This window comes from Homo sapiens, chromosome 8 (genome assembly GCF_000001405.40).
Source record: "Homo sapiens chromosome 8, GRCh38.p14 Primary Assembly".
In the NCBI taxonomy this organism is placed as follows: domain Eukaryota; kingdom Metazoa; phylum Chordata; class Mammalia; order Primates; family Hominidae; genus Homo; species Homo sapiens.
Window position 1 is genome coordinate 48,048,487 of NC_000008.11, and position 17,147 is coordinate 48,065,633.

The 17,147-nt window shown below is 38.8% G+C and overlaps 1 protein-coding gene across 3 annotated transcripts in view; it reads left to right on the forward strand.

Moving 5' to 3' along the window:
* Nucleotides 1-16,222, forward strand: part of UBE2V2 (ubiquitin conjugating enzyme E2 V2) — a 67,272-nt gene extending 51,050 nt beyond the window's left edge. For all 3 annotated transcript variants that reach the window (XM_017013808.3, XM_011517583.4, NM_003350.3), the window contains exons 3-4: nucleotides 1,367-1,492; nucleotides 12,196-16,222. In XM_017013808.3, the coding sequence (XP_016869297.2) occupies nucleotides 1,367-1,492; nucleotides 12,196-12,342 (273 nt within the window). In that variant the 3' untranslated portion in view covers nucleotides 12,343-16,222. The remainder of the gene's footprint in view (nucleotides 1-1,366; nucleotides 1,493-12,195) is intronic.
* Nucleotides 16,223-17,147: the final 925 nt, after the last annotated feature.

The window sequence follows — 17,147 nt, forward strand, 5'->3', positions numbered from 1 at the left end:
GGGAGTCTGATATGCATCCAGATTGGAGAATCACAGCCAAGATAATCATGAGATCTATCTGATTTTAGTCATTTTTATATATTGAAAGTGCTGGGGATATTATTAATATTTGCTTGCTATTAATCTCAGATGAGTTTTATATAGCTCTTTTTTTCTTAAAGTATTGAAATATTTAATAACATACATATAACATTGTTGCATAGGTTTTACATTAGAGTAGTTTAATACTGCAAATCTGACCTCCATTTGGATAGCTCTTGTTTATGGGGATGGGATCAGTTTGAGTAGGTGAGATCTGTAGATGGTTGGTTAGCTTCCTCCCTCTCTGGTCTTATACAGCAGCCAGCAGATATTAAATTTTTCACTTTCATTTATTTATGTATATATTTTTATGTTATTTTAATTATAATTTAGAAAATTTAAAGTTTCAATAATTATAATTCTCTTTAAAACAATTTTTTTTTCTTTTTAATCTCTTGAGTCAAGGTGAGGATTCATTTATTTTTTACTTTGCTGTTTTAATGGTACACTAATAAGTTAACAGAGTGAACAAAAGCCATAGCAGAAAGAAGAGTTAATTTATAGGCATGAAAATAAGCCCTGGATAATCTAGAAGCTTTAAGTTTGATACCTATTTGAAAATGATGTGTAAACATAAAGTTTGCCATTGTATCTCTGAATTCAGATAATGGGATTTAATGAACCTCAAAATTAATGAAGTGGCAACGTAAGTATAACTAACAGGGGACATAAAATAATTATGTTTTATTGCTGCAAAATAGTATAATATGGGGTTTTCTCTTTTGCTAGAAGTTATTGATTGCCATATTTAGTAGGATAATCATATAATTTGTTATCCAACAAGACCCTTTTGAGAATGAAAGGAGGCACTGTTAATAGTCAATTCTGGGACAATAGGAATAAGCAGAACTGTTCTGTAAAACAGAAACCTTCATATATGTTTAACACAAGTCTCAAGTAGCCCCTCCCTCTACAATGTAAACTTTTTAGCAAAATCTAAATTTAAGTGGTTTGCTTTTTCGTTTTTCCTTCTTCGTTCTAATTTGTTACAGGCATCATTTTTATCACAAAAGCAACTTGGGATCATATTGATAATACTTTGTAGAATTAATTTTGTAAAATCTCATGGAATTAATTTTGTAAAATCTCAATTTTTAAGTATGCTTATTGCATTTTTTCTCACCATATAGGTGAAATAAATTTGAATGTAGAAAAATAAATTCTTAATCATAAACACTGTCTTACGTACATTCATATTGTACTTTCCCTTTTTTTTTTTTAGCACTTAGACATTAATATTTTAGGTATTGTTATTTTGATTATCTTTTTGTTTTTTGCCTTCCAGACAAATTATGAAAACAGAATATATAGCCTGAAAGTAGAATGTGGACCTAAATACCCAGAAGCTCCTCCGTCAGTTAGATTTGTAACAAAAATTAATATGAACGGAATAAATAATTCCAGTGGGATGGTAAGTTAATATAGTCATTTTGGTTTTATATAACATAATGTATAGAGTTATATATTATACGTACACACACCATAATATATGTAAGATATTAATATGTAGTTAGGAGAAAGTTTTTAAAAGAGGACCTTTGTTAAGCCAAAAGTCTAAAGAAGGTTGCATTATGTTGTTTTTCTTTTATTAATATAAATTAGGCCATCCTTAAAAACCTTAATGTACTTGCCTAGAATAGATGCATGTGGTGGTTAAAACTTTTTTTTTCTTTTCTTTTTTTTTTGAAACAGAGTCTCACTCTGTCACCCAGGCTGGAGTACAATTGTGCGATCTTGGCTCACTGCAACCTCTGCCTCCCGGCTTCAAGTGATTCTCCTGCCTCAACCTCCCGAGTAGCTGGGATTACAGGCACCTGCCATCATGCCCAGTTAATTTTTGTATTTTTGTAGAGACGGGGTTTCACAATGGCCAGGCTGGTCTCGAACTCCTGACCTTAGTTGATCCGCCCGGCTCGGCCTCCCAAAGTGCTGGGATTACAGGTATGAGCCACTGTGCCTGGCCAAAAGTTTTCTTAGGGTTTTAATTGCCTTAATAGTCATATTTCAGTTGATCTTTATTTGGTAAAAAGATGACCATTATTGGGCGGGGCATGGTGGCTCACGCTTGTAGAGATTGTGCCACTGCACTCCAGCCTGGGTGAAAGAGCGAAACTCCGTCTCAAAAAAAAAAAAAAAAAGAGATGATCATTATTTCTCTTTGAATGTTACTTTTCTGAGGGTTAAGGTACATTTGGTGGGATTAAAAGGATGACTGTTCATGAAAAGGATGAATATTCATGAAGGGTTTTTTTCTTTAAAGAGCAAATATGTCTGTGTTGAAACAGTCATGGCTGAGCATCATTGTCTATTTATTTTTGGGTTTCACTCTGTCCCCCAGGCTGTAGTGCAGTGGTACTCCCCCACTTCCTGTGGCCTCAAGTGATTCTCCCACTTCAGCCTCCCAAGTATGTGAGACTACAAGGCACATGCCACCAAGCCCATCTAATTTTTGTATTTTTTGGTAGAGATGGGGTTTCGTCATGTTGGCCAGGCTGGACTCAACTCCTGACCTCAAGTGATCTGCCCACCTTGGCCTCCCAAAGTGCTGGGATTACAGGCGTGAGCCACTGTGTCCAGCCCATTGTCTCTTTAAACAAAATGACATGCCCTGCTTGACCCACACAAGTTAGTTAGTAGAAACAGCTGAATTTCCAGTATGAGTAGATTGTTAAGTTCATGATAAGTCTTTGAAGCCTAGGCTCTCTTGGTGCCATGTTGAGAGCACGCCACATACAAAATACATTTTAGGAAGCAAAATAACATATCATCATCATAAAATGAGTATCATCCATCTTAGGAAATAGGGCCTCAGTATCCTTGATTTCTCATCCCATCCCTGCGTTCCCTCTCTCTACCAGTGTATTTTGTACTACAAATGTATCACATATGTACACAAATTCATCCTCCTTTCTTCTCTCCTTCTCTCTTTCCTTCTCATCTGTTTACCATCTGTTAAAAATCACGAGTTTATACTAACAACTCCCACTAATTTTATTCTAAAACTATAGGGTTTGTTCTATGATTCTTCCTTTCCAGTTGAGAAACCTGGCTCCCATGCTTCCCAGTGCATTTACTTATTTGCTCAATTTCCCCTTCATATAACTGTACTTCTGGCAACAAGTTGAATCTTGGATTCACAGCCAGCTCCCTGCCCCTCAACCCCAACCTAATACGCAGGTCTGAGGCGGGGCCCCAGATTGGCTGGTGCATCCAGCAGGGAGGCACCAGGCCAAATAAAGCATGACCCTGAGAAAGGAAGAAGCTGGGAAAGGTCATTGGAAACCTTAGCCCTGCACCTGCTGGGCCATTAACACCCCCCCACCCCTGTGCCAACTCAGAGCTGGGACCTGAGAGTCTCTCCAGCCCTCACAGTCCTCAGTTGGTCAGTCTTTGTGATTTACTGGGAGCATTTAGTCCATTTACATTTAATATTCTTAATTACTGACATGTTCAGGTTTAAACAGATCATCTTATTTGGTGGTTTCTATTTTTCTACATGTTTCTTGCCTACTTTTGGAATGGTTGTTCTCAACTTCTTTCATTCTGTTTGTGTTCTTTCAGTGATTATTCTAGAAATTATGCACACTTATCTATTTTTAAGAAATTTGATAGGAGCAGGATTATAAAGCATATGAGTACACAGAAAAGATATTATTTAGGGAATGTCCTGTGTGACACACAGCATTGCCTTTATGAAGAAGACCTTTGTTAGATTTTGCTACTAGACATATCTGGTTTTCTCCACTACTGTTTTGTTTTTACATTATAGCTTCTGTAAATTAAGTAACTAATGGTGTGTTCTACATTGTCATGGAAGCTAGGAAATTTAGATTAAATTTCAGACCTACCTCTAATAAGCTTATCTGATCTCTTGGGCTTTTGGTCCAGTAGTTGATATTTTGCCTCCCTCTCTACCTCCCTTCCCCCAACCCATTTATCATTAAGCCTTGTCAGTTTTATGTTCCAAATGTGACTGGATTTAGGTCTTATTTTTCTATTTACATTGCCACCAAGTGAATATTGGCCATCATTTATTTCCTGGACTCTTGCAACAACGTCTCTGATTCTACTTTTTAAAATCCCTTCCAGTCTTTCCAAAGTTAGCAGCCAGAGGGATCCTCCTAAGAGACAAATTGCGTCGTGTCATTTCTGCACTTCAGATTCCTTTAGGGGCATCAGCCTCAGCATGCATGCTTCTTGCCATGGCTCACTGGGAGTGCTCAAGGTGCACACTGGCCTGCATGCCTTTCGTTTGGTCTCAAGACCTTTGCACTTCTGTTCTTCCTCCTTCCTCCCCAGTCTGGCTAACTCCTATGGGTCCTTCATTTCTCACTGTAAATTCCACTTTCTTTTTTATTGAGACAGAGTCTCACTCTGTCACTCAGGCTGGAGTGCAGTGGCATGATCTCGCTCACTGCAACCTCCATCTCCTGGGTTTAAGTGATTCTGCTGCCTTAGCCTCCCAAGTAGCTGGGACTACAAGTGTGTGCCACAACACCTGGCTAATTTAATACAGATGGGGGTTTGCCATGTTGGCCAGGCTGGTCTCAGACTCCTGACCCGCGTTGGCCTCCCAAAGTGCTGGGATTACAGGCATGAGCCACCGCACCCAGCCTAAATTCCACTTTTTAGTATCTTTATTGATGTTCCAACTTGAATTATGTCCCTTCTATTGCTCTGTTAGAGTCACTCTTATTCTTTTGTTGCACTTAACTATAAATTTATTTTTTTGTTTTTAAAAGAAATGTTTCTAACATAATAGAAGTTTTAGAGAATGATAGAACCAGCATCTATGTGTCCTTCACCTAGCTTTGTCAAATGTTAACATTTGTCTTATTTGTAACAGATCTTTTAATTTTTTTTTTTTTTTTTTTGAGATGGAGTCTCACTCTGTCTCCCAGGCTGGAGTGCAGTCACGCGATCTTGGCTCACTGCAACCTCTGTCTCCCAGGTTCAAGCAATTCTCTTGCCTCAGCCTCCCAAGTAGCTGGGACCACAGGCATGTGCCACCACGTCCAGCTAATTTTTTTGTATTTTTAATAGAGACAGGGTTTCACCATGTTGGTTAGGCTGGTCTCAAACTCCTGACCTCAAATGATCCGCCCGCCTCGGCCTCCCAAAGTGCTGAGATTACAGGCGTGAGCCACCCTGCCCAGCTAGATTTTTTTCTTATTAGTACAAAGACTACATTATAAATAGAGTTAATTCTGTGTGTGGCTTTCTCTTGTTTCCCCTTCCTGTTTTTTTTTTTTTTGAGATGAGGTTTTGCTCTTGTTGTCCAGGCTGGAGTGCAATGGCATGATCTCAGCTCACTGCAACCTCTTCCTCCTGGGTTCAAGCGATTCTCCTGCCTTAGCCTCCCGAGTAGCTGGGATTACAGGTGCCTGCCACCATGCCTGGCTAATTTTTGTATTTTTAGTAGAGATGGGGTTTCACCACGTTGGCCAGGCTGGTGTTCAACTCCTGACCTCAGGTGATCTGCCTGCCTCGGCCTCCCAGAGTGCTGGGTGGGATTACAGGCTTGAGCCACCACGTCTGGCCAAGTTTAAAATTTTTAAATTAAAATGTTCTCCGTCAGATTGCTATAAAACTTTCTAAGTTCTTACTCTCAATTGCAATGTGTATCTTGTCAAGGAGCAATAGAATTCAGTTCGTGGCCTGCCCCTTTCCATGGACACACCTTGAGTAGTGCTGCTCTCGGGAATACATCTAGAAGTGTGCCGTGGCGTGGGGCTTTCTTCAGCTTGAATATTGCCAAGCTGCTTTCCTCCCGGCTGGGTCAATGTCAGCCCCACCAGTGGTGTATAACAGGACCCTCTGAATGTATATTCCCACCAACCCTTCTTACTGTCAATCTGGAATGGGGACTGGGAAATAGAAAAATAAATACTGATTTTAATCATTATTGGAGTGTAGATGTGTGTATAGAGGGTTGTGGGTAGGGTGAATATATTGGACATCTGTTTTTCTCTTCATTTACATCTAAGAGTTTGGATTATTACTTTTATAACTAGTAAATGGTACAGAATTTCACATTGGTGATTGTGCCAGGATAGTTTTTATATTTTGAGGCTGTTTAAGTGTCTCATGAATTGTAGTTCATAGGCATTGATGGTGGGTGTTGCTTTAGTAATTTTAGTTTATACGTATTTAATACGACGAGGCAAAGTTATTCCCTGTGGGTGGTTAGCACTCTGAAGTGTAAATTTTATTGTCTTATGCAGTGAGATCTCACATTTTGGAGGTCATTGTATGTTGTAGACTGATAAGATGCAGATTTTATTCTGACATGATATTTATTTTCTCATGCTCTTTACTGCGTCCTCTCTCTTCATCTTTTTTTTCTTTTCCTCCAATGTTTCTTTTTTTTTTTCTGCACCCTGTTGGTATTTCACAGGATTTGCAATCACTTATGTTTATTTAACTACCATTTACAGCTGGAAGTGTTTGTTTCTGATTTAGAAATAGCTTGGTATTCTCTCTACTTATTTTTATAAACTGTTCAGTTATGGAATCTATTTAAAATAGGCTAAGGAGGTTGCCACTCTTTAAAGTGAAAGTGTTAGAGGAAGCATTTTAAATGTACCTTACCATTGTAACATTTTTCTTACTCTTTTAGTTAGTTTCTTTTCCTTTTTTTTTTTTTTTTGAGACGGAGTTTCGCTCTTATTGCCCAGGGTAGAGTGCAATGGTGCGATCTTGGCTCACTGCAACCTCCGCCTCCTGGGTTCAAGTGACTCTCCTGCCTCAGCCTCCCTAGTAGCTGGGATTACAGGCGCCCGCCAACATGACCAGCTAATTTTTTGTATTTTTAGTAGAGACGGGGTTTCACTATGTTGGCCAGGCTGGTCTTGAACTCCTGATTTCAGGCGATCCACCCACCTCAGCCTACCAAAGTGCTGGGATTACAAGTGTGAGCCATTGCGCCTGCTGTTAGTTTCTAAAATAAATATCACTCTAAAATTATTTTTCTTTTCTACTTTCAAACACTTTTATGGTGATATAATTCACATACCATACAATTCACCCATTTAAAGGGTAAAATTCAAGGGTTTTTAGTATTCACAACATTGTGGAATCACTGCCATGACCCAGGTTTGGAACATTTTTGTTCTTCCCAAAGCAAATCTGTGCCCATCAGTTGTCATTTCCCATCCCATCTCCCTTAGACCTAAACAACCATTAATCCACTTTCTGTCTTTTTTTTTTTTTTTTGAGGCAGAGTCTCACTCTGTCGCCCAGGCTGGAGTGCAATGGCTTGGCTCACTGCAAGCTCTGCCTCCTGGGTTCATGCCATTCTCCTGCCTCAGCCTCCCAAGTAGCTGGGACTACAGGCGCCCGCCACCACACGGGGCTAATTTTTTGTATTTTTAGTAGAGACGGGGTTTCACTGTGTTAGCCAGGATGGTCTGTATCTCCTGACCTTGTGATCTGCCCTCCTCAGCCTCCCAAAGTGCTGGGATTACAGGCGTGAGCCACGGTGCCCAGCCCACTTTCTGTCTTTATAGATTTGCCCATTCTGGATGTTTCATATAAATAGAATCATAGAGTATGTGTTCTTTGGCGACTTAACGTAATGTTTTCAAGATTTACCCATGTTTGTATTGTGTATTGGTACTTTATTCCTTTTTATTGTTGGACAATATTCCATTGTATGGAGATCCCATTTTATTTATCCATTTATCACCTAGTAGATATTTCTATTTTTCTACTTTTGGCTATCATGAATACTGTTGCTATGAATATTTGTATACAAGTTTTTGAGTGGGCAAATATTTTCATTTCTTTTGGATATATATTTAGGAGTGGAATTGTTGGGTCATACGGTATCTATGTTTTAGTTTTTGAGGAACTGTCAAGACAGTTTTCTAAAGTGAATAGGCCATCTTACATTGCTACCACTAGTGTATGCAGGTTCCCAGCTTCTCCACATCCTTGCTAACCCCAAATAAAAAGCAAGAAATTAAAACATAACAACATAAACAATCACCTTCAAAAAAAGGAAAAGGAGACAGGGTTTCGTCATCTTGGCCAGGCTGGTCTCGAACTCCTGGGCTCAAGAGATCCACCCGCCTATCTCTCCCAAAGTATTGGGATTACAGGTGTGAGCCACTGCACCTGGCCTGCCTTTCTGGACTACCGTAGCTTTGTAGTAAGTTTTTTTGTTTGTTTTTGAGACAGAGTCTTGCTGTGCCGCCCAGGCTGGATTGCGGTGGTGCGATCTTGGCTCACTGGAACCTCCACCTCCTGGACTCAAGCAGTTCTCGTGCCTCAGCCTCCCAAGTAGCTGGGATCACAGGCATGCGCCACCACGCCTGGCTAATTTTTTGTATTTTTAGTAGAGATGGGGTTTTACCATGTTGGCCAGGCTGGTCTTGAACTCCCAGCCTCAAGTTGATCTGCCTGCCTTGGCCTCCCAAAGTGCTGGGGTTACAGGAGTGAGCCACCACGCCTGGCCTGTAATAAGTTTTGAAATCATAACTTTGTTCTTCTTTTTTTAATATTGTTTTGGCTATTCTGGGTTTCTTGCATTTGCTTATGAATTTTAAGATAAGCCTGTTCATTTCTGCAAGCAAGAAAAAAGCAGTTGAAATTTTAATAGGAGTTGTATTGAATCTCTAAATTAACTTGATGAATATTGTCATCTTCACAGTAATAAGTCTTCTGACCCATGTATATTTATTTAGCTCTTTAATTTCTATCAACTATATTTTACAGTTTTTAAAAATTATTTTTATTTATTTATTTTTTTGAGATGGAGTCTAGCTCTGTTGCCCAGGCTGGAGTGCAGTGGCGTGATCTCAGTTCACTGCAACCTCTGCCTCCTGGGCTCAAGCAATTCCTGTGTCTCGGCCTCCCAAGTATCTGGGATCACAGGCATGTACCACCACGCCCGGCTAATTTTTGTATTTTTAGTAGAGACGGGGGTTTTGCCATGTTGGCCAGGCTGGTCTCGAACTTCCGAACTTAGGTGATCTGCCCACCTCGCCCTCCCAAAGTGCTGGGATTACAGGCATGAGCCACTGCACCCGACCTTTAAATTATTTCTATTTAATTTTTTTTTTCTCTTTTTTCTGGGGAGGGAGGGAAAGGGGGAGGTAGGAGAGGAGGGTGGTAGGAAGGAGGGAGGGGAGATATTTTACAGTTTTCAGTGCACAAGTTTTACACTTTTGTTAAATTTATACTTAGGTATTTTATTAATTTTTATTTCAGATTGTTGCAAGTGTAAAGAAAAACTAATTATTGTATATGGAACCTGTATCTTGTTGCCTTGATGAACTTGTTTATTAGCTCTAATAATTTCTTTAGTGGATTCCTTTGAATTGTCTATATACCAGATCATTTCTTGTATTTCTTCTGCAAATAGAGGTAGTTTTACTTCTTTTCTTTCTAATCAGGGTGCCTTTTATTTCGCTTCTTTGTTAATTGTCCTGGCTAGAACCTCTCCAGTACAATGTTGAATGGAAGTGATGAGAACGGGGCCAGGTGGTGGTGGCGGCTCATGCCTGTAATCCCAGTGGTTTGTGAGGCCGAGGTGTGCAGATCCCTTGAGCCCAGGAGTTTGAGACCAGCCTGGCCAAGATGACGAAACCCTGTCTCTATAAAAAATACAAAAATTGGCCGGGCGTGGTGGCTCATGCCTGTAATCCCAGCACTTTGGGAGGCTGAGGCGGGTGGATCATGAGGTCAGGAGTTCGAGACCAGCCTGGCCAACATAGTGAAACCCTGTGTCTACTAAAAATACAAAAAATTAGCCGGGTATGGTGGTGAGCACCTGTAATCCTAGCTACTTGGGAGGCTGAGGCAGGAGAATCGCTTGAACTGGGGAGGCATGGGTTGCAGTGAGTGAAAGTAGCCGGGCCTGTGGTGGTGTGCGCCTGTAGTCCCAGCAACTTGGGAGGCTGAGGTGGGAGGATCACCTGAGCCCAGGGAGGTCGAAGCTGCAGTAAGCCACAATTGTGCCACTGCACTGCACTCTAGCCTGGGCAACGAGTGAGACCCTGTCTCAAAAAAAAAAAAAAAAAGAAAATATAAAAAGTGATGAGAATGGACATCCTTATCTTATTCTTCATCTTAGGAGGAAAGTATTTGGTCTTTATTAAATATGATGTTAGCTCTAAGTTTTTTGTAGATTCCTGTTAGGTTGGAGGGTAGTTTCCTTCTATTCCTAATTTATTGAGTATTTATATCATGAAAGGTTTTTGGATTTTGTCAGATGCTTTTTTGCATCCATTGAGATGATCATGGTTTTTGTTCTCTGTTCTGTTAATATGATATATTACTCTGATTTTTAAAATATTGAATCTATCTTGTGTTTCTGGGATAGGTCCTACTTGTATATAATCTTTTTTGTTTGGAGATGGAGTCTTGCTCTGTCGCCCAGGGTGGAGTGCAGTGTCACGATCTCAGCTCACTGCAACCTCCGCCTCCCAGATGCAAACAATTATCCTGCCTCAACCTCCTGAGTGGGTGGGACTGCAGGTGCACACCACCATGCTAAATATTATATTATTATATATTTATAAATACAAATATTATTGTATTTTAGTAGAGACGGGGTTTCACTGTGTTGCCCAGGCTGTTCTCGAACTCCTGAACTCAGGCAATCCGCCCGCCTCGGCCTCCCAAAGTGCTAGGATTACAGGCGTGAGCCACCATTCCCAGCCTGTATATAGTCTTATATGTTGCTTGAGGTCAGCTGTAGATGACAGCTTATGGCCTTCTCAGCTCTTTCATAAGCCTGTGCGCAGCCCTACACATGTGTGTGGTCTTCTAGATTCCCAGGCCTGTTTGGAGACACTTCGTTTCCCAGCTTGTCTGCTTAAGTATTTTGGTTACCTTCCTGCTTTTTTTTTTTGGAGACAGAGTCTCAGTCTGTCGCCCAGGCTGGAGTGCAATGGCGTGGTCTCGGCTCACTGCAGCCTCCACCTCCCAGGTTCAAGTGATTCTCCTGCCTCAGCCTCCCAAGTAGCTGGGAGTACAGGCACGTGCCACCACACCTGGCTAATTTTTGTATTTTTAGTAGAGGCGGGGTTTCACTATCTATGTTGGCCATGCTGGTCTCAAACTCCTGACCTTGTGATCCGCCCGCCTTGGCCTCCCAAAACGTTGGGATTACAGGCGTGAGCCACCGCATCCGGCCCACCTTCCTGTTTGACTCAACTTTTTTTGACAAATGCCCAAGGTAGGAGGTGAGTGAAGATATGTGAGCTCTGAGGTCAGATAAAGGAAAGCTCTGTGTGAGTGGAGTTTTCCAGGGAACTGCAGGACAGGTCAAATGCTGACAGTTAACTGGGAATGGGCTTGCAAGGAGCTCCATCCCCATTCTGTTGCTCTTTCACAGAAGATTAATTTGGGTCGGGTGCCGTGGTTCATGCCTGTAATCCCAGCACTTTGGGAGGCTGAGGCAGGTAGATCACTTGAGCTCAGGAGTTCAAGACCAGTCTGGGCAACATGGTGAAACCCTGTCTCTACGAAAAATAGAAAAATTAGCCTGGCGTGGTGGCAGGTGCCTGTAATCCCAGCTACTTGGGAGGCCTCATGAGGCAGGAGAATTTCTTGAACCTGGGAGGCGGAAGTTGCAGTGAGCCAGGATCGCACCACTGTACTCCAGCCTGGGTGACAGAGTGAGACTCTGTCTCAAAAAAAAAAAAAAAAAAAAAAAAGGAAAGAATAATTAGGAATAGTGCGTAGAATACATTGGAAAGAAAAATCTGAAAGAAGAGATCAGGTTAGTAGCTTTTGTCTAAATCTCAGTGTGAGATAATTCCCCAGATTTTGGGCGGTGGCATTGGAAATGGAGAGGAACCTTTTGACCTTACTCCATTAAGAAAGAATTGGTAAATTTATTGACAAAGTAGTTATTTAATATAACATTTATTTCTGATGACCAAAGTTCACTGTATGTTTTATGTCTTTATATTTTCCCAAAATATTAAACTAATTATGATAAAATATACTAATTATGGTATTAGTAATTCCATAGTGTATGTTTTGTGAAAATAGAGGCAAGCTATGAATTTTCAAAATCATTCTTATTAAAATATGCTTAACAAATTGGTGCCATAGTACTTTAAACTTGCTAGTTAACTGTACTCTTTCCTCCCCTTTCAGGTGGATGCCCGGAGCATACCAGTGTTAGCAAAATGGCAAAATTCATATAGCATTAAAGTTGTACTTCAAGAGCTAAGACGTCTAATGATGTCCAAAGAAAATATGAAGCTTCCACAGCCACCAGAAGGACAAACATACAACAATTAATTTTAGTGGATCTCAAACTTGTCTTAAATCAACAACCTTCTACTCATGTTAATGTCTTGATTAAATATCACAATGCAAAATACACATTAAGTAAAAGAATTCCAGCTGGTAAACATGACCTGGACATTTGTAAGAATATATTTAATATATGTACACCCATTATGTTTTCAGGTAACAGGAGGAAAAATGCAGCACAATTTTTTTTCTCTTGAAAGGCACTGTCATTTAAACATAAACCTGGAGTACTCGAAATAGAATTCAGGTTTACAAGATGAAAGCGTGTGGAGAAGTGTCAGATGGCAGTGGAAGCATGTGTGTTTCTAAAAAGTAAAAATCTCAAGAAAACAGAAATGGCATGCTTTACCCATCTTACTTAGTGAAAGAGAGCTGCAGTTGAAATTGTTTAAAAAGTAGCAGGTACAATGAATATTGTCACAGATGTGTTAATTTTTGAAGCAATGTGGGTGCTGACTACTAGTAGTATCAAAAATATGTTCAGGATTGTTTTGATACCTGTATTTATAATAAAAAATGTTGGGGGGAGTTGATGAATTCCTGTTAAAAGCTGTTCTTGTGTGTTACATGTAACAGACATGGTAAATATTTGTTTACAGTCTTTGTTTAACAAACCATGCATTTAAGTTTAAGTGAAGTCAACAAAAAGGAAATAGGTGTATGGATATGTGATTTTGAGATTAAAGTTAGTCTTAAAATGTAAATAAAATGTGAAACGTGTCCTCAGAGACTGTGCCATTTCTATTATGTTGATGTATATGTACAGTACCTTGCCAGGGAAGCAAAAATTGGAATTATTGTAGCTTTTCATGTATACACACTTTTATTTACCCTATTTTGTGTACTTCTTGTGAATTATAATTTGCAGACTATTTCAGAAAAGAAATTATCTAGTTTAATTTCTTCTTTGGACAAGGAGTCCTAGGTATTATATTTTGAGTTTGATTTCACCAGAAATAATAATATTAAAAAGATCTTTGCATTCTGGCAGTTCTTTTAGGATTATAGGTTGCAAATTATCCAAATATATATCCCATTTTTTAAAGCATAATATCTTTTTTAGTTGTTTTTCTGTGAAGCTTTTGGTTAATAAATAGGGTCAACTAATTGGAGACTTTTCTCTTCCAATTAGGGCTTTTAATACTAACAAGGATAACTTTATTCATTCCTCGTATTCTCTACTCTAACAAATATGAACTCTGAAGTTGAAAAGTCATTTATGTTCCGCTTTCACCAAAGTGACGTGAGGCTTTAGGTCACTGTTTCACTTCAAAGTACTGGATCCAAAGCTTTGTTGAAAATGCTGTTTGATGAATTCACTGAAGAATATAGAAAGGTGGTCAGGTAAAGTCTACTTTTATTTTGTCAAGCTTAATAATTTGTGTCATACTTTACCCCAGTATATATAGGCAAACCAAAACCTTATCAAATATTAAATTAGTTGTTTAAACTTTGCTTATAAAGTATTGGCCATGTGGTGGCTCATGCCGCTAATCCCAGCACTTTGGGAGGCTGAGACGGGCAGATCACTTGAGGTCAGGAGCTTGAGACCAGCCTGGCCAACATGATGAAACCCTGTCTCTACTAAAAATACAAAAAATTAGCCAGGTGTGGTGGTGGGTACTTGTAGTCCCAGCTACTCGGGAGGCTGGGCAGGAGAACTACTTGAAACTGGCAGACAGAGGTTGCAGTGCCGAGAGCGCACCACTGCTCCAGCCTGGGCAACAGAGCAAGACTCCATCTCAAAAAAAAAAAAAAAAAGAAAAATATTAATAATTGACCTTGGCTGTATATTAAAATAGTTACTTTTATAGTAGAGCACATTTCTCAAACATGCCCTGAAAGGCTTTTATCAAGCTCATATAAAGTTAAAGCTTTGAGCTACCTTTTCTTGGCCAATAAAGTCACTGACAGTTTATGTAAACATTAATTTCAACATGGCTGTTGCATTTTAATTATCAAAAATGTTTAAAATGCTTTAAGATGACACATAGAGAACATACACATACATACAAATTAGTGCATTTGTAATTTGTTAAATTTGAAATGAACTATTACCTTGAAATATAGTCTTTAAAAATTTTTAATGGTTAAAGATTAAATTGAATGAAACTGTAGTCTAATGGTAACTGATGATCTGAATCCGTCTCTCTGATAACCTCCTTTCCATTTTGAAAATGTGTCTTATTATACATGGAAGCTAGTAACTACGTGAATGCTGTTGGCAGGATGAGGGTCTGGGTACCTCAGTCTCTTGTCCTGTTTCCTTCCCCCAAATCCACCATTGTGAAGTTGCCAACCCCCTGCCGCCTTCCCCTGCCAAGTACATGTTGTCAGAGTCAGCCCTATAATGTTCATTTCCCCTCTTGTTTGTGGGATTATGGATCTCTGCAGAAATCTGCATGCCAATTAACCCATTTCTAAAGCAGAATCCATTTTGCATGTCACAATCAAGATGTACTTGGCAATCTAAGACACACTGGGAGACTGTAAGAGGAATTAATATAGAAAAGCTCTTAATTATAATAACATTTGGAAGAAATTTTTCCTTTGTTTTGTAAAGTGGCTAAGGTTGTAGGAGTGTGTGGTATTTATTACCTTTTAAATGAACTGTAAATTTGCCTTAGAAATTTGTTTAAAAGGCTAGCAAGTGAGACCCTTGAGGATGATCATATACTAATAAAGATTACCAAAAGAAACTTCTTGTCCTGTTAGGTCAGTGTTATGATTTAATGGTTTTAATTACTTAACCAATTTTAAGAATTGACAATTTTTAAAAATATTTTTTTCTACCATTCTAAAGTAATGTCTTTTGTTGTGGGTTTATGTGTAACTACAGGATTTTGGAACATAAACATTTTGAAGGATAGTCAATGGTATTTAGTCTTGGATATAAAAATAGAGAAAATTTATAGCTTTATGTTATTAAAATAATTTATCACACAGAGTGATTTGAGGTTTTCGCAGAGTAGATTTGTTTGACTCATGGTTTATTAGTCTGGATTACTTAAGAACAATATGTTGATTTTAATGTTAATTCCCACTAAATATATAATATTGATAAATACATGTGAAATTAATATTGTTTGGAAAATGTAGAGGACACAGCTGGGAATTATGAATGCTTTTTTCTTAATAGGTTTGGTGTGTGTGGCTTTGAATGGTTCTGCTGATGCATCATGGAAAGACAGCAGGGAACTGTAGCCTGCCATCAAAACTGTATCAACTCTTTTAATGAGCATGTGACTGTATTAGGTACATTTTGAAGAATATAAGTACTGATGATAAAGTCTAGTATGCATAATAGGATTTTGGAGGCATTTCAGGAATTTTCCTTTTATAGTATGCTTTTTAGGCATCTGTATGTGTAATATCATAGTATCATTTATTGCTGGGATGGATCGAAAAGCACTGCTTTTACTTTTCTGATAAGTATCAAAATGATTTTCCAGTACCAACTTGACTGGCTTTTAATTATTGTCACACACACACAAAATTCAACTCCTCAAGGTTTGGGAAAATTGTGTATTTTTTTGTATACAAGATAAAAGTGTCATAAAAAGGAATGGATGAATTGTTGATAGGAACATTAGCAGTTAATTTTTACCTGATACTGAGTTTACTGTAAAATAGGAAATGCATAGGAAGGAATACCTCCTAAATAATATGCCTTATAGAATGATGAAATCTTACCATAGTTCATACTGAAAATGTTGTTTATTTAAAAGTATTGTGGAGTGTTGAAAATAAAGATACACAATAAGTATTTTCTGAAGAGAAAATTAATGAAGGTATTTAATGATATAGGAAATAAGTGACAAGTTAAAGTCCATTTTGTTTCAATAAAGGAGTTGTGCAAACTCAAGGAGTGAGTTACATGATTGAAAAAAACCATTGGATATGAGGAGGTTGCTATGGTGTTTATATCCTTAATAGGATCTTTTCATCTAAAAAATTCCTAAGAATCTGCTCCATCTCATGTTTAAAATTAAATTTTTTTTTTTTTTTTTTTTTTTTTTTTAGAGACAGGGTCTTGCACTATCACCCAGGCTGGAGTGCATTGGTGCGATCACGATTTACTTTACCCTTGGCTATCCTGGGCTCCAGTGATCGTCCCGCCTCAGCTTCCTGAGTAGCTGGGACTACCGGTGCACGCCACCATGTCTGTTTTTGCTGTTGTTGTTGTTGTTTTGTTTTTTGTTTTTGGTAGAGACTGGGTCTCTGTTGTATAGGCTGGTCTGAAACTCTTGGCCTCAAGTGATCTTCCTGCCTTAGCCTTCCAAATGCTGGGATAACAGGCATGAGCCACCACCCCTGGCTGGCATCTCATATTTCTGTGTAGTCTATAAGACCATCTGAAAAGTTTTTGCTTCAGGTTAATTTGTGAAGTAAATGATAAAGGCTGATAGATGTTGTTTTCTTATAGAGATTCCAGGGATTATCCTTTCTCCAGTGTTTAACTGACCAAATACCATGTTAAGTGTTGTGCAGTGATCCATTTGCTGCCAAATAGATAGACTCAATGTGTGAATTCTTCTATCTTGTCATTGTCAATAGTGAGCAGCTACTTTATCCAGAAATTTTGGCAGTTAAAAGATTATACCAAAGCAGAGTTGTTATTCTTAGTTGGCACTAAGAAACCAATAGTCAAAAGAAACCTGTGGTCAATAGAAAAGCAAATTGTTGATCTTATCCATAGTGAATACTTTGCATTGCTTGTTCAGTACAGTAGTTGAGTAATGAAAGAAAAATATTGTTCAAGGATTACAAGGAGGCTTTTTTTTTTTTTT